The sequence below is a fragment of the Homo sapiens genome, chromosome 9, assembly GCF_000001405.40.
Source record: "Homo sapiens chromosome 9, GRCh38.p14 Primary Assembly".
In the NCBI taxonomy this organism is placed as follows: domain Eukaryota; kingdom Metazoa; phylum Chordata; class Mammalia; order Primates; family Hominidae; genus Homo; species Homo sapiens.
This window is the reverse complement of record NC_000009.12, coordinates 20,181,453-20,205,962: the sequence shown is the minus strand read 5'-3', so window position 1 is coordinate 20,205,962 and position 24,510 is coordinate 20,181,453. Positions and strand designations below refer to the sequence as shown.

At 39.4% G+C, this 24,510-nt stretch overlaps 1 protein-coding gene across 1 annotated transcript in view, besides 1 other annotated feature; it reads left to right on the top strand.

Moving 5' to 3' along the window:
* Positions 1-24,510, top strand: part of SLC24A2 (solute carrier family 24 member 2) — an 800,438-nt gene that overhangs the window by 101,930 nt on the left and 673,998 nt on the right. The window lies entirely within an intron of this gene.
* Positions 7,518-7,812: a silencer, noted in NCBI's record as "tiled region #8935; K562 Repressive non-DNase unmatched - State 24:Quies". NCBI's record gives its function as "represses a minimal TATA promoter and a strong SV40 promoter by Sharpr-MPRA in K562 cells {active_cell/tissue: K562}" and the evidence as "EXISTENCE:reporter gene assay evidence [ECO:0000049][PMID:27701403]".

Below are 24,510 nucleotides of genomic sequence, written 5' to 3'. Positions count from 1 at the left end.
AGTCATGATATAAATACAGTATAAATATAATAACAATAAAAATCAGATAATTCATTAATATCATTGTCGACTTCATCAGAAGAGGCTTTAAGCACTGAGAAGCTGTCATGGTCATGGTGATGAGTTTTCCAAAATTCTAGCTTGTGCTTGAAAGTTTAACTTTCATAACTGATAGCAAATAGTGTCAGTTGTTTTCTTTAACATGTCAGTCTCACTTCGGTCATCTTCCAGAAAATATCTGCTAAATACCTAAATCTGAATAACCTGAGGTAAACGTTTTTTTGTTTGTTTTTTTTTTTTTTTTTTTTTTTTTAGATGGAGTCTCACTCTGTTACCCAGCCTGGAGTGCAGTGGTGTGATCTTGGCTCACTGCAAGCTCTGCCTCCTGGGTTCACACCAATCTCCTGCCTCAGCCTCCTGAGTAGCTAGGACTACAGGAGCCTGCCACCACGACTGGTTAATTTTTTTTTGTATTTTTAGTAGAGACGGTGTTTCACTGTATTAACCAGGATGGTCTCGATCTCCTGACCTTGTAATCCGCCTGCCTCGGCCTCCCAAAGTGCTGAGATTACAGGTGTAAACCATTGCGCCCGGCCTAACCTTAGTTTTTATGTAAGTCATTCTTTCACATAAAAGATGGCATTCCATGAAAAGATTGAGTAGTTCAGCTTGCAATTCAATCATGCAGATACTTTTCTTCAAGACATCCAGGAAAAAAAACCCATCATGCTTCAATAGGGAGAAATGCTTTGCGTGTACTCCCCATTTTCTCATACAGTTTTTTAAAAAGTGTGTTTATTAAGAATTCAACAAGTTATTTTGAACGTGGCAATGCTGTGAATTCTTTTACTGACTTTTCATCCTGCAGGCATTCAGCAATTCAACTGAAGGGTCGTGTTTAAAAAAAATTATACTTTTGGCTGGGTGCAGTGGCTCACGCCTGCAATCCCAGCACTTTGGGAGGACGAGGGAGGTGGATCATGAGGTTAAGAGGTCGAGACCATTCTGGCTAACATGGTGAAACCCCGTCTGTACTAAAAATAGAAAAAAAATTAGCCGAGTGTGGTGGTGCGCGCCTGTAGTCCAGGCTACTCGGGAGGCTGAGGCAGGAGAATGGAGTGAACCTGGGAGACGGAGCTTGCAGTGAGCCAAGATTATGCCACTGCATTCCAGCCTGGGTGACAGAACGAGACTCTGTCTCAAAAAAAAAAAAAAAAAAAGTTATACTTTTTATTGCATTATTAAGTGTATTCTTAAGTGAAATAAGTTTTTGCTTTTATTTGTTTCATTGTAAGTATGTCGTGATGCAGAATACAGTAACTACTGGCATGGTTTGGTGCTACTGCCATGATTTATGCCAAGGTGCCAGCAGCTTTACCTCCCATTGCTTTTGCAACACCAGTACGACATCAGCAAAGTTGGTCCAGGATAAGTCAATAGATTAAGGAAATATTCAACACTTTGAATATTTTAGCACCACTTGTGTGTGTTGTCAAGCATTCACATAAAAAATAATCTTCTTTGATGATTAGTTGGTTCTGATACTGGACAAATGCAAGCAAAATAGCCATGCTTGTAGATTCTTCTGTTTATAAGGCAAAAGTAAAATTATGCAGAAGACGTGGCAACGCAGTCTCTTTTTCCAGCTAAATTTTTAATTCAGTAAGTTACTTTGAAGGTGGCAATGCTGTGGATTCTTTTGCTGACTTTTCTTCCAGCAGGCATTCAGCAATTCAACTGTACAAGGTTTTATTATTTCTCAGTTACTATATATGTGTTTCTCTAGTTAATGCAATTCAATGACTTTACCCATTTATAGTTCAAAATATATAAGCAATAATTTTTGGCTTTTAGGAGTTCATTACATCTGAATTTAACATATTTAGTCCTTTATCTTTAAACTCTGAATGTGTTTTTAATATATTTTGTTGAATTTTCTTTTGTATTAATATATTGAGTATAATTCAGTTAAGGAGAGTAATGTGACTCTGTTTCTGAAAACAGTTTTTGTTACTAGGAAAAGAGTTTCACCCATCTACACTAAATACGTGTTGAATAAATACTCAAAGAATATTTGTTTGAAGGGATGCAACATTATGGGTCTGCTGATATGCATATACCATAGGCGAACCCAGCAAGGATGAACAATAAAGGTACCGCTGCCACAGAGTTTGGGTTGGGATGTATTTTTTCTTCCAGTTTATGTCACCACACCCAGCTAATTTCTTCTTCTGCTGCTGCTGCTTCTTCTTTCTTCTTTCTTCTTCTTTTTTTTTTTCTTTTAAGAGACAGGCTCTCACTATGTTTCCCAGGCTGGTCTTGAACTCTTGGCCCCAAGCGACCCTTTGGCCTTGGCCTCTTGAAGTGCTAGGATTATAGGTGTGAGCCGCTGCAACTGGCCAAGAAGAGGTTTTGAATTAGTAGCATGGACTGTTAGTAAGGGAGAGAATTTAGAAGTCATCTAGTCCTCTGATGCATGCAAGTCCTGAGAGCTTAAGCGGCTTGCCTGAGTTCACCTGCTAATTAATGGTAGGGCTGAGCCAACAAGTTAATGTTTTGGTATACCGTGGAGCTGAATTAAGAGCAAATTCACATGCTAACTTTCAGGGCAACTCCCTGCCATAAGAAGAACTGCATTATCTAGTTTAATTGCCACCACCACAAAAAGATCATGATGTATATTAAGGTAATAGGAGCTTCATGCTGAAAGGGAGGGGAGTAAAACCATTGCCAAGCAGAAATGCTGGAGATTTCCACTCTTGCCCTGTTCACAGCTTAGATTTGGTAACTAAGCTGTTAAAGAAAATCATGACATGCTAACCCAGTCTTTTTTTTTTTTTCCTTTTAGTCAGTGGTTCTCCAACTTTAGTGTGGATAAGAATTATTATTCAGGGATGTGTGTTAATTAATGGGGGATTTAAGGATATTCAAGCCAATTTTGCTAATAAGCAATATTTGCCAACCTTGAAATCTAACTCTGGTGGGATGGAAATCTACTTTACTCCAATGCATTAAAAATTTAGTATTTAACACATTTGAGTGTTTGCTAAATTAAAATTTTGAATATAAACTTCAAAAAGTAAAATTAAGTGTTTTGGGGAAACCCTGGAAATTACTGCTTTCTATGTTAATACCTACTAAGCCCATTCCTGGTTTCAAAGCCAGGGTTTAAGAGGTTTTATTATAATTACATTTTGTAAACTTCTACCCTTCTCTCCTTTTCTTTTTCTGTAATCCAGCAATATATCCGACTTGCCTTTCTCCCCTCTTCTTCCAAGTCCCAGAACATTCTTTTCTGGAGCATTTAAATCCCAAAGGAGAACTGTGAGCTCTAAGCCACCAATCAAAGCCAACTTTTACAGTGTCTTCTTTTGTCTTTCTATTTGTAGGCAACTCCTGCCCATCTCTCCACTCCCTGAAACCCACAACTATCCCCTCAGGCCCCGCCATAACTGCTTTTTCCCACCTGGCAAACAGCCTCACTGAATTCTGGGTGGCAGGCATTAACCAGACTTCAACACAAATGCGCCTGTCGAAAATGGCACCAAGTTAGGTGAAGAACAAAGACACTCTGGCTTCAAAGAGGAAGCTCCAGTTTTTGCACAGAAGGAGTTTCACACAACTTCGGTTAACAACAACAATCACCTCAGGGGAAGAAAAGGCCCAGACTACAAAGAAATGCCAAACAAGCAGTCCTCAGTCCTTCCTTTCTTTCTCTGGCGTGTTTTGCACAAAACCTGATCAGGAGAGGAGGGCTTTGATAATCACTTGGACCATGACTGCTGCTAGTAGCACTTCTTCTGCTTCATATATCTCAGCAATTTGCGGGCATCTGAGTGTTCCATGCTTACCCAGGTTTAGAGTGTGAACACACACACACACACACACACACACACACACACACACACACACCATGAAATGGGATTGGCTGGCTAGAAAAAGATTCTGGCGACTTCCCAAAGATTACAGGCCAAGTAATGTTTTTCCTTTTTTCTTTCTTTTTTTCTACAATTCCCTCTCTATTTTTCTTACTCTTCCAGTCAACTGCTGATGTGTGGCTGTACAGCAATGACAAATACATACTCACCCTAATTGCCACGTTTTTGAGGAAAAGAAGTTGAAAATGGTGGGAAAGTGGCAGCTGACTGCACAGGGAGACGGAATGAAATTTCGAAATAATGAACAATTTAAAAATGTTACTTTTCTCCTCTCTCTAAACTCAAAGCAGAGAATTTTTAAAAAACTGTTTCCATCTTGATAAAACCCTAATTAAAAATAAAAGGGCTAATTAAAAATAAAAATAAAAGGACTCTTTGTGGAATGAGGCAGGCATTAAATAAGTAAATCAGACAAATTCAATATGCTTTCATTTCTATACCTATTCTATTAAGTCACCTCTTCCAGGTTGTAACATGACAGCTCTCTTTTCTTCCTCAATCTCTCACTTTCTTTCTTTTCCCTTCTCTATCTCAAATTGTCGAGCTGTTACTGTCTCTTCTATCCCCTCTTGGTCTCTGTTATCACAGAAGTGGACAGGAGCCAGGTCTAGCTGTGGTTTTTTGCCATGTCAGTAGCCACACCAGTTGTTGATAAAAATCTGGCACCGTGAGATGAGGCCATCTGTGGTGAAGTTTAAACCTATTTACCTCCCTGGCAAGCTGGTTGAAGCCTCCCTTTCTCTGTATTCAGTGAGGCTGAAGATGACAAATGCAGTGGGATTAAAGCCATGGGATGAAGTTTGGGGCAAAACAAAACCCTTTCCCAAAGACAGAGCTCATGATAGCTATTAGCTGTGAGGATAAGCAAATCCCCAGTGTCTGGAGCATGCAGCCAAGAGACATTCCAGCTCTGTGTCCCACTCTGTGTACTTGAAGGAGACAGACAACTGGCTGAGTTACAGTCTGGACTTTGGGTACTGGGAGATGCAAACTGGACTCTGCCACTTCTTTGTTAAAGGACCTTGGAATAATCCTGGGCTGTATTTTGTGATTTGCAGGGTAAAACCCCTGTTTTAGAGAACTGTTCTCAAATATAATGAGCTACAGAACAAAACTACCACACTTGTGACCTCCAAATAGGACTCCACAGCTTGACCAATTACCTGAACCATAACACTACGGTCCAAAAGCTTTGGTTGCTTCCAAAAATCCAATCAACCCTTACAGCTACCAATGAGGCTATTCAGACATGCATGAAGTAAGCTCTGAAGTCAATGCCAAATGCTTTGGACAATGGCAGCGTCCCTGGGCAGAGGCCAATTTACCATGAAGCTAATAAAGCTGAAGCTTCTAGGCCTCTTTTGAGACCCCCAAGAAGGATGCTAGCAATGTGTCCCCATGTTTGTATTTTTGTTGCAAAATTTATAAAAGTAGGGTGTTTTAAGCCCAATGAGTTGACTGCTTTCTCTATTTCTACTTTCCCTCTGTTCGATTTCCCTTTCCGTTACACGGAGTTGGAGTGATCCAAGGCAGTTGAGTTAGAGATACATTTAGTGTGGGTTTAGCGGGATAAATTTGTGAGAATCAAAGTCTCATCCATATGCTGCTTTACTGGCTTTACTGCTGGCCATCAGTATAGGAATGGTTTCTTGGTCCATGCCTACAGCTCAGTGTACTGACCCACCTGGCAAGGTACACAGAAAGAGGCAGAGCCAGAAGTTGACTCCCAATATCTCCACATGAAAGTGTCCCGCAGTGTTTGGCACTGGAAATATGTGGGCAGTGGAGGAGAAACCAGATTTGAAATGTGTGGAGCCAGAGGCTACTCTGTGGAATGGAGATAATATCTATATTTTTAAGGTTATTATGAAGATTAAACACAATAAGGTATGTGTCAGTGTTAACCGGTATCTAGTATAAATGGTTGGTAAGGAAAAGTATTTTTGTTTCTTATTTGAAGGATCTGACTATATTCATTATGAAAACCAGATATCAGCTGGTCGCGGTGTCTCACGCCTGTAGTCCCAGCACTTTGGGAGGCCGAGATGGGCGGATCACCTGAGGTCAGGAGTTCAAGACCAGCCTGGCCAACATCGTGAAACCCTGTCTCTATAAAAATACAAAAAAAAAAAAAAAAAATTAGCCAGGCATAATGGTGGGTGCCTGTAATCCCAGCTCCTCAGGAGGCTGAGGCACGTGAATCACTTGAACCTGGGAGGCAGAGGTTGCAGTGAGCTGAGATCACGCCATTGCACTCCAGCTTGGGCAACAGAGCAAGATTCTGTCAGAAAAAAAAAAAAAAGAAAGAAAAAAGAAAGAAACCCAGATATCAGAATATCAGAATGCTTGGGAGATTGTGATAGCTCTTGAAACATTATTTTAAAAAACCTATTGTTACTTTTTTCTCCTTTTTTCTTTATTCTCAAAGTGAATTGAAAAATATTGAAAATCCTGCTATTTGAATTCTAGTTAATAGAGATTCTCCCACTCTAAAAGGATTAAAAATTTAAAACACTCTCAAGATGCCTCATAGCAACATTAGTAATAAGAATTAGGACACCCCCCAGATGCCAATGGTTAAGAAGCAAAGTCCATCTGATATTATTAAGCCGCTCTCTGCTTTATTGATTGCTAGGCTCTCTGAGGATGGGAAGAACATCTTTGGGTTTAGTAATATACAGTGCCTGTCTCAGCACATAGGTGCTCAACAGTGACTAATACACCTCTCTAATTGTTCTTTTTATTGGTTCCTAGACTCAGACTGGACTCTATCCCGCCTGAGTTTCACAGATGAAGTTGAAATGGACCACTTGCTCTCCATTTGGTATCATTTCTAAAGTAATGGCTGAAATCATCCCTAACTGGAGAGAGAAAAAAAATAAAATAAAATGACACCTGAAACATTCTTGTTAGTTAATAAGCAATAGGCTGGTTAGAAACAACTTTTTCTCTGTAGAAAAAGGTCCATACATCCTTGTCCCCTACCTAGTCTACCTTCTGTTTCTTTTCTATTTTTCCTGCACCATCCAAAAAAAAGAGGTGCCTCATTTAACTAAAAGCAAGTTTCCCCACATTGGACAGCCTGATCCACACCCCTTTTAGCCTCGGCATCACCTTGGTGAAACTCCAAGAATGTGCCCATACACAAAAGAGAATTTGCTCCTCTTTCTGAGAAACTGATTTCTCATGGCACAACCAGGTTTGCCAGAGCCAGTTGGAAGTTTAGCAATCTTAACTGTGCTTCAGAAGGTCAGACCCAGCCGAAACCCAGGCTACTAAGTATCTAGGTATTGGCACCTCGGGGTGGATGGCTTGGGGAGAGAGAAGGGGGTGGGGGTGGAGAGAGAGAGAGAGTGAGAGAGAGAGAGAGAGATGCGAGGGGACCCCATGTGTTCCACAAATTGCCTCTCCCCAACACCCACCCAGCCATGAGTATATGAAATAATTCCTCCTTTGTCCGCCAGCTGGCTTTCAAAGCTATTGGGATGAGCCTGCTGGACCTGTCTGGGAAGCTTGTTAAACTGCACGGAGTAAGTCAGGGAAAGGGAGGGGTAGGGAAAAGATTAAAGGGCGAATACAGTCTGTGTGAGGCAGTGGCTCTGACTCTAAAGAAGCAGATGATCTAAGGAAAGGAAGAGCTTCCCTCTAAAACCAGAGACTGCATGCAATGCAAATGACCTGTGTGCAGCTGCCTCTGGCAGGCAGCCACCCGCCTCCAAAGAATAAAGTCAGAGCAACAATTCACTCCTGAACCCTGAAGCTTAGTGACTTCAAACAAGAAAAAAGAAAAGTGACATGCTTTTTTCCCCCTTTCCCGAGTGAACTCATCCTTTCCCCAAATTGTGCTGATGACCTCATCATCTGCAGCTGTGTGCTCCAAGCTCTCTCACCCCCTCAATCCCTGGGGATCACATCTGGTGTGGAGCCTTGGTACCTGGGGCTACAACATCTGGAAATGACCGCCTTTACAAGTGGGGTGTTTTGTAACCACCTTTTACTCTGTTTGATGCAGCCAAGGGGAAGGGAAATCTTCAGCATCTTTTTCTTGGGAGATAGCCCTCTCGTCTTTGTGCAATAAGGATTTGCAGGGACAGTGATGTCAGGGTTAGTGTTTCAGGTACCTTTTCATTTTTCACCTTTACATTCATGAGTGACTGTTGGTCTAACCTGAGAAATGATATTGGTCTCTTTGAACCAATCCTGCTTGTGTTTGTTTGATGGTCTGGCTTTTGGTTTGTTTATGTCCTCACTGACAAAGGTAATGTTATTGTCGATATGAAAAATCACCCCAATTATGGCCTGGCTCGGCTCATGCCTGTAATCCCAGAACTTTGGGAGGCCAAGGTGGGCAGATCACTTGAGGCCAGGAGTTCAAGACCAGCTTGGCCAACACGGTAAAACCCTGTCTCTCTAAAAAATACAAAAATTAGCTGGGCATGGTGGTGCATGCCTGTAGTGTCAGCTACTCGGGAGGGTGAGCTGGGAGTATCACCTTAGCCTGGGAGGTCAAGGCTGCAGTGAGCTGTGATTGTGCCACTGCATTCTAGCCTGGGTAACAGAGTGAGACCCAGTCTCAAAAAAAAAAAAAAAAAAAAAAGAGAGAGAGAGAAAATACATCATCCCAATTAGCAGAATTAAATGGGCTTTAGAAACTACAATGGTGAAAATGGCCCTAAACTATTTATGTCTATGGGAAAACATATACATTTAGGAAGGGGACTCTTTTCCTATTGTGAGAATATACATTGATCCAACTAAGTTTGGAAAACAATTTGGCAATCCTCTCTATATAAAGGAACTTAAAAATGCTCATATACTTTCATTCTGAAATTTCATTTCTAGAAATCTCTTATCCAAGTAATATAGAAATTCTAAACTATAGTATGAGATCTTCATTCCAGTATTATTTACTATTTACTGCAATAAAACAAAAAGAATCCCCCCATCACATAAAACAGAGACAACCTAATCCAATGTTCAACATTAGAAGAAGGGCTGTGTAAATTATGTTACATCCATATAATGGAATGTTATGTAGTCATTAAAAATGAAAATTATGCAATGCCTTGTTTATATAATGCTAGAAAATATCAGAATATAAGCATGATTTCTACTTTATACAAGGCATATATGCATGGACAAAGGAATTGAAAGAATATATATGCCAATTCCACAAGTGTTGTTTTTAGGAGGGGATGATGTTACTATTATTTGTTTTTTTATGCATTTTCATGTTTTCAACTTTTCCACAGTGAGCTTGCTTTACTTTTATAATTAGGAAAATAAAGTTATTTTAAAAGGTGGGAAAATGCAAATCCTTTGCAGGCCTCCTTGGCAGAATGTAATGAATTATTATCCTATGCACTATAAACTAAAGTGGTGTATTAGCTAGGCCTGACATAAGAAAATGGCAAACTGTAGGGGAGTTTATATTTAATTCTAGCTGATTGTTATTATGAGAAAATATAAATGGCTCAGAGCCACTGAATCTGATTTTTCTAGATAAGTCCTAAATCCCGATTTTAAAGTGGAATCCACTGATTTTTAAATAAAGGCGATAAATTCACATTTAAAAAAATCAATTACATATGTTGGGCCAGCAAAATATCCAGCCTATGTGGCATTATTTTGAAACTCACTAGTTAGAAAATGCAAGTGCAGTCCTGTGGAGACAGTCACCAGCCTTGGGGGCTGCGGGGCATTTCACTTCACTTCATTACTATTAATAATGCTGCAGTGAAAGCCTTCTACTTATTTCTTTTCACAGCTAGGCAGGTATCTCCCTAAGGTAAACTGTAAAAAGATGGATTTCAGATTCAAAGATTACATTGATTTTTTATACATATTGTCAAATAGTGTTCCAGCAAGTTCAAATGCATTACTTCCATTAACTGTTCATGGTAGCCCTTCTTTTTCACACTATCATAAGTATAGAGTTTGGTCAAGCTTTGTCATAGATGAACGTTTATATCAAATTATATTTATATTATATTCGCTTAATGCTATTAAACAGATATTGTATGTTTATTGACCTTTGGTATTTCTTCTTTTATTATTTGCCTGTTCATGTTTTTTGCCCATTTTTAAGTTGTCTCTGACTTTTTCTTATGGTTTTATATAACCTTTTTTTTGTATACCATGGACAGTAGCTATCATATGAATTAAGTTAAAAAATTTTTTTTTCTTTTAATCTTGTATAATGGGTAAGGTTTTTTTGTTATTTTAATGTATGCCATGAGACTATTTTAAGTGGGAAATTAATTTTGCTTCAGAGAATATCTTGAGGAGTCACTTAGATGATAAAGAGTGAGGGAGCAGTTCATCAGGAAACTGTGAAGCAAAGGGCTAGCCAAACTCATAGGCAGGCTGGAAAACATTAAATGGAAGACACACTAATAAGAGAAAAGTAGGAGATTTTTGCAATACATATAATTGATAAAGGATTAGTATTGAGTATATATATGAATAACTTACAAATTGAGAGAAAAAGGCAGACAACCAATTTAAAAAACAGACTAAAGATTTAGACAGACACTTCACAAAAGAAGAAATCCAAATGGTCAATAAATACACGAAAATTTCCTAAAATCTAATGAGTAATCAGATAAATATAAATTAAAACATCAATAAAAACACACTTAGATGTTTGCTGATGCCAAATGTTTTTGAAGATGTGGAATATCAGAAATTCTCCTAAATCACTGATTGGACTATAAATGCCTAGTGTAGGGACACAGAAAAATGTGTGTATAAATAATAGTTATTATATTAAGGTATATATACAGTCATATACATTGAAGCATTGTTTATAATTTCCCCTAACTGGAAACAATGCAAATAGCCATCAACAGTAAAATAGATGAATAATTGTAATATGAAAACTATACAGCTGCGAACATGAATACATTAAAATTACATGTTCCAGCATGGACAAATCTTATCAACATGAGCTGGGGAAGAAAACTGAGACAAAAAGAACATATCCAATATTCCATTAATAAAAAGTTCAAAAAGAAACTAATTTACATGGTTTACGGATGTATACCTAGGTAATAAAACTATAAAGAAAAACACGAATGTAGTTACTAGCAATCTTAGAATATTATTTATTTCTAGCAGTGGAGTAGTGGTTGTGATGGGAAAAGATGTAGTGTGTGTGTGCATGCGTGTGTGTGTCTGTCTGTGTGTGTTTCCTAAAATGTCAATGGTGCTGTTTTACTTGATCCAGGTGTTCTCTATTTTTCTGCATTTAATAATCAAATAGAAATGTGGAGAGTTAGAAAAAGTAGAGAAATGAGAGGATGTGAAAAAAAATACTGTGAGAGACAGGGATAGACAACATGGCAAGAAACTAAAGCCTGCAGAAAAATATTGTTAATAATATATTCCAAATGGGCTATACAAAGGAGTTCTTAGGATAAAGCTACCTGATATTCAATTTGATATTGCTGGCATTTCTTTTCACATTCTAAACCTTCAATAAACTCTGTTAAATAAATATTTTGAATGAGATTTTAGGAAAATCAAAGAAAAGTAACCAACCTATAAATTAATTTAGAACAAGGATTTTTTGAGAAAGGTGAGGAGTGGCCATGAGCATGTGAGCCCCTGAATGTGTACAGTAATCTTGGAGAAGGGATGAAGAGTACCAAAGGATCTGGAATCGGGCTTCAGTCAAATGGATTTGAGTCTCTAAAGAATAGTGCCTTACCTGATGCCCAGAGATATTGGTTTATGGCAGTATTTTCTCTTCTTTCTTCCATACAGAAGTCTAAGACTTATAGGTAATCAGATTTATTGGTCTTTATTCTTTGATTTCTGGTTTTCATGACATGCTTAAAAGACATTTTATCATGTTTGAGCATCTAAATCCTTGATTTGTCCAGAGTTCTACTTAGTGGAAAGATGGAAGGAGTGCTTACTTTTGTTTTCCCAAAAAAAAACCCAGCTCAATCTTTTTCTCTGATAATTTGAAATACCTCATTTAACCATGTGTTAAATTTTCATATTTACACACACTCTGTCCTATTCCATTGATTCTATTCCTGTGCTACTTCTATTTGATTACTATAATTCTTTGATAAATCTTAAAGTCTGATAGGGAAAGTCTTCCTTGTCAGTATTTTCTTGGCATTGCCCCTTTGATTATTCTTTCAACCGATAGGATCATTTTGCCATATTTAAAAACAAAACAAAACAAAAACCCTCTTGGGACTTCTGTAGATAAGTCATTGAATTTACAAATAACTTTCAGTAGATACACAGAATATTCTGTTTAAGAACTTAGTGTCTCTAATTATTCAGTTATTTTTTGTATGTCTCTCTATTGGGTTACATATTTTAAAAATCAACATCCTAAATATTTATCATCTTTAAACTATCCTGTTTATCAGTTTCAGCATCCAGTATTAATTTTAGAATCTATATTGATAGACATTTGCTTATATATTAAAAGATCAACTACATTTCATTAGGGGATGTCAGTTGGGTGTTAAAATACATTACATATATTAAAAATAAATTATATATAATTTCTATTTAAGGGAAAGTCTTCCCAGATTCTGGCACTGGGTTGATAATCTTTCTTTTGGGTGGTGTGAGCTTTCAAGTTTTCTTGCTTTTCTTTTTCTTCTTAGAAATTTTAAAGGGAAGCTGGGAGAATACCCCAGGAAACTCTAGCCAGGTACCATTTTAAAGCAGAAGTCTGTTCACTGACTAATAAATAATAAAATTTCAAGGCATGATTTATATGCCTTAATGCTACTCAGGGTTACAAATCCAGTTTGTACTTTATTTCAAACCCATTCCTTTCACCTTAATTGGTATATGCATCCAATATTTTGAATGTAGATGATTTCAGGGTATACTCAATATCAAGGCATGTGGACTGTTCTACCACCTGTTATTGTTTCTTTTCACCAGAAGAAACTAGAGCAGGGATCTTGCTACTTTTATTTAATTCTGACTTTAGACCTCTTATGATAATCAAATGTCAATTGCCCAAGACTAGGGATGGAAAAGCACTATACTGTGTGCTGGGGGGTTCTTCAAATAAAAGATTGGGTAATTTATATTTTTAATATAAGTGATTTAGACCCTGAGGCTTTGATCTAATTAAGTAGAGAATCAAATTAGCTGGAGATTAAATGAAGATAGAATGAGGGGAAGTCTTGCTGGCTCTTGAGTTTTCTAAGAAAGGCTCTTTGCAGTGCAGTGGTTCTCAACCTTGGCTGCATGTTGGAATTAATCAAGGAGCTTCAAAAAAATACTGATGCCCAGGCCCCAGGCCCAGAGATTTCAATGCAGTTTGTCTGATGAGCAGCCCCCGTATCAGGAATTTAAAAGTCTTCCCAACTGATTCTATAATAATATGCAGCTGAGGTTAATAATGACATAGTTCTTAATCCCAGTTGAACTAAGTGCCACCTGGAGGCTGGTTTAAAAATATACATTCCAGGGCTCTATCTGGATCCCTTCTGATACAATGGACTGAATTAGGCTCTAGGAATCTGCATTTCTAATAAGTGTCCATGTGATTCTGATGTTAATGATTCCTCCTCTACAAGATGTATCTGACTGTAGTCACCTCTCTCCCCATCCACCTTTAACTCAGCTCTCAGAATATCTTTCTTAAATATATATATATATCTTCCCAATTTAAAACATTCACTGGCTGCCCCTTGTCTACAAAATAGTCTTTAGTGCAACTTTCCAGGCCTCCCCAGCCCCAGCCTTTGTCCATCTTCTTGGCCTTCTCACCCACTTCATCCCAATCTCTGTCTACCATGCTCATTGCATCCTTTCCTGATTAACTTCTGGCTTCTTTTAGAGTCTTTGCTTAAGCAGTTACCTCTGACTTCATAGACCTTTCCCATCTTCAACCACCTAATCCTGCTCTTCTAGCAGCTGGAATTCCAACACTTTCATGAAAATTTGTTTGATCTTCTAAAATTAGGATATTCACACTTTCCTCCACATGCCTATTGCAACTGATCTGCACCTCTCCCTTATTTGCTTTGGTTTGGTTGGACCTGAGCTGCGGAAAGTTGAGTTCATCTTACCCCTCTGTGCATAGCATCTTATCTTCATGGGTCAATGCCAGGATCCTCTAATATGTTTGAACTGTTCATAAACATGTGTGTACCCTCCTAAAATAAGACATGCTGCCTCAAGTATAGTTGGTTTTGTTCTGGAAACCTCACTCTTTTTTTCACTTCAAATTTCTTTTATGATCTATCCACACAACTAAAATTAAATCAAATTCATTTCATCTACCCACTGCATAGCATCCCTTAGAGGGCACTTACCACCACATTTTACTCTTCTTTTCCCGTCTTAATGGATATCTAGTTTGCCCTGAATTCTCTACTGCCACAAGGAGGCCACACTGAACATTCTCTTAGGTGGCCCCTGGTGGATCCATATGATAATTTTTTTAGATATATGCCAGAGAATGTAATTACCTAGCCATAGGGAATAAACTCTCTTAGTTTCTCCAGATACTGTCGGAATGCTTTCTGGACTAGCTGTGCAGTTACACCTCACTTCTGGTCTTAGGCACTCACCTCCTATAGTGTACTTATCCCTGGTGAGGATTATGGTCCCATAAATCATGCTGGCACGGGAAGGCACCATTTATGAACTTATTTATAGGAAAAAGTGAATCAGGATCTTGAAGTTGCATGTGATTGTGCAAAACCCTTTGAGATATTTTTATGTCCGCAGAAACAGTAAGTATATAAACTACATACTTACTAAGGAGATCATCAATGATATTTTATAAGCTAAAAGCAATAATAGATGTTTTTATGAATGGAAGTAAGAGATCCAAAGGTCTTGTCTGTCCTGCAAAAAAAAAAAAAAGGTCCGGAAAACATGGTGATTACACCTTGATTAGGCCAATTTTATGACCCTAAGTGACTCAAAGAGCACTTTATCTGAGATTTTTGCTGCAGGGGAAATAATCTTTCAAAGTCAATTCACAAATATTGAAGTTTTAGAGACGGGAAGAATGTTAGTGTGGAAATTGCTGTTAGAGAGCAAGCTCCTTGAGAAGAGCATGGAAAAATAATTGTGTACAGTTAACACTTTTGGAGAACTTTTTATGTACCAAGTACTGTACTAAACAATGTATAAACATTATCTAATCTTCATTAATCCTGTGAATAGGTACCATTTTTGTCATCCCTTTTTAAAGATGAAAACACTCAGAGAATTTACATAATTTTCCCGAAGTCATACAATTGCTAAGTAGCAAAGCCAGAATTTAAATCTAGGGATTTTTTTAATTTTTATTTTTTAATTCCAGATTTCAAGCTCATGACTAATACAGAAAAAGCACAGGTTTGGAGTCCAACAGACCAGGTTCAAATTCTTGATTTATCCATAACTTACTAGTTGTATGATGCTGGGAGAAATTATTTAACCTTTCTGAGCCTCACTTTTCTCTAAACAATGGGACTAGTAGGAGTATGTTCTCCAGAGAGTTATGAGTATAAATGAGCACAATATATGATGTATATTAGATGCTTAGTAAATGTTACTTCCCTTATTACATCGCTTCTTACCAGCTTCTGGCATAGGTTAGACATTTATATGTTTATTGAAAAACACAATAGATGATTAAAAATTTTTAATTATTATCTGAAGTTTCACCTTTATTAATTTGGTAGGACAAAGATCTGAGAGAGGTAGGAGGATGGGCCCTAAAAGGATTGTCTTGACAAGCCAGAGGAAAACCTAGGCTATTTTGCAGTTTCCCTGAGGACTGCCCTGGCATAGTCCCTTCCAAGCATAGTCAATGAGTTACCTGACTTATCTCCAGAAATGGAGAAACAAAGATACCAGCAGAGCAACCACATACAAGCTCATTTTGCCTCTTTTGCCAGGCTTCATGCAGGGAGTGTTGCGGGTTCACACAGCTATGAACCAATGCAAACTCTCCCAGGGAACCGCTGGAGAGGAAATTAATTAACCCCTGCCATGGCTTCCCAGTGGGGTGCCGGGAATTAAGCTGTCATTCCTCCTGGATGCTTGGATCAGTCCCACTCTGGCTGTCTTCGAGTCTGAATGAATAGCCCATCTCCCCTCCCCTCCCAGCACCCTTAGACTGAGAATGCTGCTCCAGGCAGGTAAGATGAGCATTCCCTTTCAGAGGCAGAATTGTGCAGTCACTGCCACTTGTTTCTAGGGCTGGAAACTTAGGAGAAACCTCTTCCAGGGGGATCATAATCAGAAATCCGTAGCTAAAGTAATGCGATTTGCAGAGACCTTGAGAAAGTAGCTTTAGCTGTGGACACCAAGGAAACTGCTCAGCATTTGGGATTCTCTGGCATCTAGACCATTGTTAGCTCTCCAAAGGGAGGCTCATGCCATGTGAAATTCAAAGCTGTTGAGAGCTCCACTTTTAATGAGATCTTTCAAAGGGGATAGCTCAAATGGTCCTTAAGAATCATAATGTCAGGTGGATTTCATGGTCTAGACAGATCTGACATTGCCCACTCCCCACACTTTCTTTCTTTAAGATTTCTTCCATAAACCAACAATAACAAAAAAATAAAGTTCTTATGGGAAGGTATTGATTTATTAATAGAAGCTACTGGTTTTCGGCATTGATGGTCCCAGGGACTTTCACTACCCAGTTATGATGACTGGCTTTCCCCACCAAGCCTCCAGAGCTCCCAGCAGTCGATTTATCAACACAGGATGACAACTTCATTGTTGTTCTCTGGAAACTCTGGCTCTTAAGAACTACTTGGGGTTTTAGGCTAGAAATGCCTTTGGGAGAGCATTCTTGTGTGGAGTAGTAAATCTGCTTTAAAAACACTGGATCTTTTGAAAATTGAGATCGAACCAACTTCTTGCTTTTCCCAACCAACATCCCGAAGGAAGCATGTTTTCTCCTGGAACTCTCTAAGAGCAAATCAACTGGGAAAAAAAAAAAAAAAAGAAAAAAAAAGAAAAGCCACCCTAATTTCTGGCAGTCTAGAACTGTGGGAGTTTAGCTTGGGTAACCCAGATATTATAACAGCTTGTGTAAACAAAGGAACTCACATTAATATGAATAACTCAGATTTCCTGCTTGTATTAATTTCCCAATGCTGCTGTAACAAATTACTACAAATTTGGTAGCTTAAAACAGCACACATTTTTCCTGTTACATTTCTGGAGGCTGGAAGCCTACCATCAGTTTTACTGGGCTACAATCCATGTGCCAGCAGGACTCGTTCCTTTAGGCAGCTCTAGGGAGCATCTGTTTCCTTGCTTTTTCCAGTTTCTAGAGGCCATCTTCATTCCTTAGCTCGTGGCTTCTTCTCCCGTCATCCTAGCTCCTGCTTCTGTTGTCATTTCCCCAACTTACCTGACTCTGACCCTTCTGCCTCCCTCTTGTAAGGACCACTGTGACTACATCAAGCCCACCAAGATCATTTCAGGCTATTCTCCCCATTTCAAAATCCTTAATAAAATTTTCAAGCCCTTTTCACCATATACATAAATGTAAAGTAACACTCACAGATTTTGAGAATTAGAATGTGGATGTAGCTGGGGAGCCATTATTCTGCTTACCACACTACTCTTGCTCTCATTTGCTCATGCAGGACCTTTGGCTCCTGCAATGATCCCTAAAGTGTTACTTGGAGTTCCTAATGGGTGCCCCTGACCCACCCCATTTGTTCACAGCAGACTCCCTATTGTTAAGGCTGGCCCACTCCTCAGAAAGTGAGCTAAGGAAACCTCATGATGGCACCCAAGATGGGAACTCCAAGGAAACCAGGGGTCCACTGTCCAGCAGCACTGGATCCCTGGAAGAGAAGTGGAGAGTGTTCTCTAATTTGGGGATGCACCTTGTCGCATGGACACTGTTTGTAGCAGAAATTCTACAAGGCCTCCCTTGAAAAGAGCTTCTGACTCTAATCCTCTTCTGACAGGATAGAAAACCAATCCAAGAGGCCAGGTGGGGATCAGGACACAGGCATGATGCCAAATTCAGCCCTATGATGTGCCAAGTACTGTGCTATTGTTGGGGCTTCAGAGATGAAAGACAGTCCCACCTCCTGAGGATCTGCACAGTCTAACTGTTAAAGCAGACTTTCCACATTTTCATGAGCGGAGGAATCATGTGGGATCCTGAGAAAATTAAAATTTTGATTCAGTGGGTCTGAGGTGGGCATAGAGATTCTGCATTTCTAACACTTTGAGTAGCAAGGGTCTAGGGGAGACTGACCATAAACAGATGATTAATTATGGTGTGGTCTGAGAAGTGCATTGCCACAAGATGCTCAGATGTCGTGGGTGCAAAGGAATGCACCTAGCTAAGAATGGGAGAAGGAGAGGGAATGACTCCTAGAGGAAGTGACCCCTGGACAGAGTCTTCAACTTTGAATGAAAGTTTTCCAGGTAAAGAACTGGAGAGAATGTAGGCAGGGAGACAGAGCAGCATGAACAAAGAGATTTGGAGAGAGGAAGTTCTAGAACTGCAAGAATTGAAGCATGACTGCAGCTGAGAGCTGAAGAATAGAGGAAGGGCATGAGATGAGGCTGTTGAGGTAGGCAAAGTGAGCGTGATCATTCAGGACTTTGTACTCCAGGCTCAGAAGTTTGGACTTGGTTGAGTAAGCAACGGGGGGTCAGGAAAAGGAGAAAATAAAGGCAGAGAATTCTCTCTTTTACTATCTGTTCTGAAAAATGTCCACCAAGTTTTGATTGGCAAATTACTGGGTAATTAAGTGAATGATAAAAAAAAACTTTGTTTTTAAAAAGTAGGTCTTATGTAGAACCTATGGGCATATCAAAACAATGCCATATTTGAGGTCAGCCAAGATCTGTTCCATTATAGAATGGTGCTAGGGGCCAAGCCAGGTTCTGACACCACTGGAAATAAGCCTGGGTGCATGGATGGGATGGGATGGGGATGGGGGAGAATAGGACCAGCTCTGCTGGCTCATGAGACAGGGAGCACTGTCTCCAGGCCTAGCTTTCCCTCAAAATGCCTTTTCTAGTCTAGTCAGCATATTACTTTAAAAAATCTTCATAGAGATGCCATTTTTGGAGAGTGTGCATAGGGACAAGACTCAGAACTTGATCCCCATGCTCCACTCCCACCCACACCCCTGCCCAAAGGTCAGAATGAAGTTGTAGAAACAGGCATGGATGTAATTGCTAAAGGAAAATTATAATCTGGAGGGTAAAGATGCCCAAGATGAATAAAAATGTCTCTCGTTGATTAAATACTTACTCTGTGCCAGGCTTTGTACTAGGACTTTAAAATATATCATAACATTTAATCCTATATAATTTGAGGAGATAGGCATTATTTTTCCTCTTTTTTTTTCAGATGAGAAAACCAAGGCTTAAAGATATATTTTCATTTTCCAAGGAGGTGCGGTTGGAGATTGTAAAAATTAGGATTTGAACTTGGGAATGCTTAACCATAAAGCTGACTCTACAAAATCACCTGAATCAACAGCAAAAGTAGGTTGTAGTTCAGGTAGGTAGCTGGCAAAGGATGAGTTCAATGTGTTGGAGTAGGGAGGTGGTCCAGGCAAAGTGGTTGAGAATCTGGGGGTAGCCATCCATGTGGCTCCAGGAAGACAGATGGTGAAGAGAGAGTCCGTACCAGGGAGGTAAGCCAGACAGTAAGTAGGGCCCCGGTTAGAATATCTCAGTCAGAATGGTCAGAAGAGACACTACAGAGATAAGTGTTCAGAGATAAGCAGGTTAAACAGGATAGAGGCACAGGGAAATCGACTGGGGCAAAAATCTACTTCTTTGAATATGGCACTAGGTAGAGATGAGCCTCAGAAACAAGGTGGACATCAAATTTTCAAGACTGGTCAAATGATCAGGGGCCATTGGAGCTCCTAAAGAGTCCCCCCTATTACGCTATGTGCTCACAGTGGACTCATTATTCTTAAGGCCGGCCCCCTCCTCAGAAAGTGAGCTAAGGAAGCCTCATCATGGCACCCAAGACAGAACTCCAAGGCTCCTAAACAATACATGTATTTTAATTGACCACTTGGTGTAAGCCCCAAGAGGCCAGGAACCAGTTTTCTTCCAATCACAAAAGCAAAGCAAACTGAGACCTTGGAGAGGGACTGGCATACAGCTGGAGTTCAGTACATCTCAGATAAATAAATGCCTGAGTGTGGGGGTGTCTGCTTTTCCAATTAAGCTTCATTTTGCAATCAAATCTAGCTTTTTACCCCCTTCCCTACCTGGCTTCCAGTCTCTACAAACTTTAGAGTGCTTGAGTCACCTTGGGGGCTATTTTAAAATGCAAATTATCAGGACCGCCTTCAGTAGATCTGAGGTTGGGGGCTGAGTAATGTTTTTTCTTTTCTTTTCTTTTTTTTTTTTTTTTGAGATGGAGTCTCGCTCTGTCTCCCAGGCTGGAGTGCAGTGGCGCAACCTCGGCTCACTGCAAGCTCTGCTTCCCGGGTTCACGCCATTCTCCTGCCTCAGCCTCCCGAATAGCTGGGACTACAGGCGCCCACAACCACGCCCAGCTAATTTTTTGTATTTTTAGTAGAGACGGGGTTTCACCGTGTTAGCCAGGATGGTCTAGATCTCCTGACCTCTTGATCCGCCCACCTCGGCCTCCCAAAGTGCTGGGATTACAGGCGTGAGCCGCGATGCCTGGCCTGTTTTTTCTTTTTTTAAAATTTATTTATATTAACAAATAATATTGTATATATTTATTGTGTACAATATGATGTTTTGAAATATGGATGCATTGTGGAATGTCCTAATCAAGCTAATTAACATATGCATTACCTCCCATACTTTTTGTGTGGTGAGAACACTTGGTAATTTTTAAGAATACGATACACGGTTAAGTATAGTCATCATGTTGCATAATAGATCTCTTGAACTTATTCCTCCTCTCTAAATACAATTTTGTATCCTTTGACCAACATCTCCCCAACATCCCTCCCTGCTCAACACAGATAACCACCATTCTACTCTGCTTGCGTAAGTTCAGCTTTTTTAGATTTCATATGTAAGTGAGATCATGGAGTATTTGTTTTTCCGTGCCTGACTTATTTCACTTAGCATAATGTCCTCCAGATATATCCATGTTGTTGCAAATGACAAGATTTCCTTAGGTTGAATAGTATTTTATGTGTATATATGCCACATTTTTTTTAATCCATTCATCTGTGATGGACACTAGGTTGATTCCATGTCTTAACTATCATGAATAACACTGCAGTGAACATGAGAGTGTAGTTATCTGTTTGACATACTGATTTCATTTCCTTTGGATATATACTCAAGCAGTGAGATTGCTGGATCACATATGGTAGTTCTATTTTTGATTTTTTGAGGACCCTCCATACTGTTCTCCATATGGTTGTACTAGTTTACATTCCCATCAGCCTATGCAAGGGCTTCCTTTCCTTCACAACCTCACCAGCACTTGTTATCTTTTGTGTTTTTTGTTTTATTTTGTTTTTGTTGTTTTTGTTTGTTTGTTTGAGATGGAGTCTCGCTCTGTTGCCAGGCTGGAGTGCAGTGGCGTGATCTCAGCTCACTGAGACCTCCACCTCCTGAGTTCAAGTGATTCTCCTGCCTCAGCCTCCTGAGTAGCTGGGATTACAGGGGCCCACCAGCATACCGGCTAATTTTTGTAATTTTAGTAGAGACAGGGTTTCACCATGTTGGCCAGGATGGTCTCGTTTCTCTTGATCTCGTGGTCTGCCCGCCTCAGCCTCCAAAAGTGCTGGGATTAACAGGCGTGAGCCTCTGCACCCAGCCTATCTTTTGCTTTTTTTGACAATAGGCATTCAAACAGGTATGAGGTAATATCTCATTGTAGTTTTAATTTCCATTTCCGTGATAATTAATGTGGCTGAGCATTTTTTCATGAACCTGTTGGCCATTTGTATGTCTCCTTTTGAGAACTGTCTATTCAGGTTCTTTGCCCATTTTTAAATTGGGTTATTTGTTTTCTTATCATTGAGTAGTTTGAGTTCCTTACACATTTTGTGTATTAACCCCTTATCAGATGTATGGTTTGCAAATATTTTCTCCCATTCTGTAATTGTATTTCTCTCAATCACTCTGTTGATTGTTTTCTTCACCATGTAGAAGCTTTTGAGTTTGATGGGGCTGAGTACTTTTTAACTAGCACCAGTGAAATTCTGATGCAGGTGATACAAGGTTTGCATTTTGAAAACCATTGATCTACACTCTTCTGAACCTTATAATCTGGGGCTACTTGACCCTTTCCCTCTCTCCCTCTAGGCCTACCTCTAGCTCTCAAGATCAGTCCTGACCATAGATATGTCTTGAGTCTATGCTTTCATCCCCCAAATGATTCCATCCTCTGAAGCCTCTTCCATCCTCTGCTCATCTAAAAGTTACCCATTCTTCAAGGCCCAGAGCAAGTGCATATCCTGCATGAATCTGTTCTTGCTAGCATTAGCTCTGAGGTTGGGCAACTCTACAAGTTGCTAAAAGCATTCCCTAAAAAGGAGCTTCTGTTGTCAAGTATGTTTAGGAAATAATTGTTATTCAAAGTTAAGCAGGTTCCTTTTCTGCTGTCTTCTCAGAGCCTCCAACATGCTAGTAAGCAATATAGTTTAGTTGCCAGTAAGCAACTCTCCAAAGGAACATGGCTGTGTTTCTGTAGAAAGCAGTTTTGAGGACATCCTGCTTCACTCTGCACTCATCACAACTTCTGTGATCTTCTTTCTTATATTTATGATCCATAATACAAAATAGGGCACTTACTTATATTATGGTTAATCTTCTCTTTCCAGCTGTGCCAAACACTCCCTGAGGTCAGGAATCAGCTATGATACTTAGTTCTCCCCACACCTATCTTTGGGATGTTTACACAATCAGAGCTCACTAAATGCTCCCGTGAAGATAGAATTCCTTTTCCCAAGTCCAGGTACGAGCCACTAAGGTAGATCTAGATTTTAGGTTCAGTTCAAAACTGTGGTCTCCCCAGGGAGTGTTTCTTCTAAGAGACTTTTTAAAACATGAGAGTTAAAAAAAATCCTGCCTTATCTTTTTGCAGAGAGGACTGAACTATTAAGCTCATTTTACAAATCAACTTTAAAAGGAATAGTTGCCTCTTAAAGGAATCTTAGAACATTCAGACAAGTAAAAAGATTGTGGCCCAATGTATACCTATTGTTACCATTTTGGTTCTTATCATGAAGTTTTATTTTCTGCCTTTATACTTATACATGAATGTGAATTCATTTCTTTTCTACCATGCTTCTTTTTTGTATCATACTTTAAATTCTGGGGTACATGTGCACAACGTGTAGGTTTGTTACGTAGGTATACATGTGCCTGTTGGTTTGCTGCACCCATCAACTCGTCATTTGCATTAGGTATTTCTCCTAATGCTATCCCTCTGCCAGCACCCCCGCCCCGACAGGCCCTGGTGTGTGATGTTCCCCTCCCTGTGTCCACGTGTTCTCATTGTTCAACTCCCACTTATGGGTGATAACATGCAGTGTTTGGTTTCCTGTCCTTGTGATAGTTTGCTGAGAATGATGGTTTCCAGCTTCATCCATGTTCCTGCAAAGGACATGAATTCATCATTTTTTATGGCTGCATAGTATTCCATGGTGTATATGTGCCACATTTTCTTTATCCAGTCTATCATTGATGGACATTTAGGTTGGTTCCAAGTCTTTGCTATTGTGAATAGTACCACAATAAACATAGGTGTGCATGTGTCTTTATAGTAGCATGATTTATAATCCTTTGGGTATATACCCAGTAATGGGATGGCTGGGTCAAATGGTATTTCTAGTTCTGGATCCTTGAGGAATCACTCGAGGAATCACTGTTTTCCACAATGGTTGAACTAATTTACATTCCCACCAACAGTGTAAAAGCGTTCCTATTTAACCACATCCTCTCCAGCATCTGTTGTTTCCTGACTTTTTAATGATTGCCATTCTGACTGGTGTGAGATAGTATCTCATTGTGGTTTTGATTTGCATTTCTGTAATAACCAGTGATGATGAGCATTTTTTCATATGTCTGTTGGCTACATAAATGTCTTCTTTTGATAAGTGTCTGTTCATATCCTTTGCCCACTTTTCAATGGGGTTTTTTCTTGTAAATTTGTTTGAGTTCATTGTAGATTCTGGATATTAGCCCTTTGTCAGATGGATAGATTGCAAAATTTTTCTCCCATTCTATAGGTTGCCTATTCATTCTGCTGATAATTTCTTTTGCTGTGCAGAAGCTCTTTAATTTAATTAGATCCCATTTGTCAATTTTGGCTTTTGTTGCCATTGCTTTTGGTGTTTTAGTCATGAAGTCTTTGCCCATGCCTATGTCCTGAATGGTATTGCTGAGGTTTTCTTCTAGCATTTGTATGGTTTTAGGTCTTACCTTTAAGTCTTTAATCCATCTTGAGTCAATTTTTGTATAAGGTGTAAGGAAGGGATCCAGTGTCAGCTTTCTACACACGGTAGCCAATTTTCCCAGCACCATTTATTAAATAGGCAATCCTTTCCCCATTTCTTGTTTTTGTCAGGTTTGTCAAAGATCAGATGGTTGTAGATGTGTGGTGTTATTTATGAGGCCTCTGTTCTGT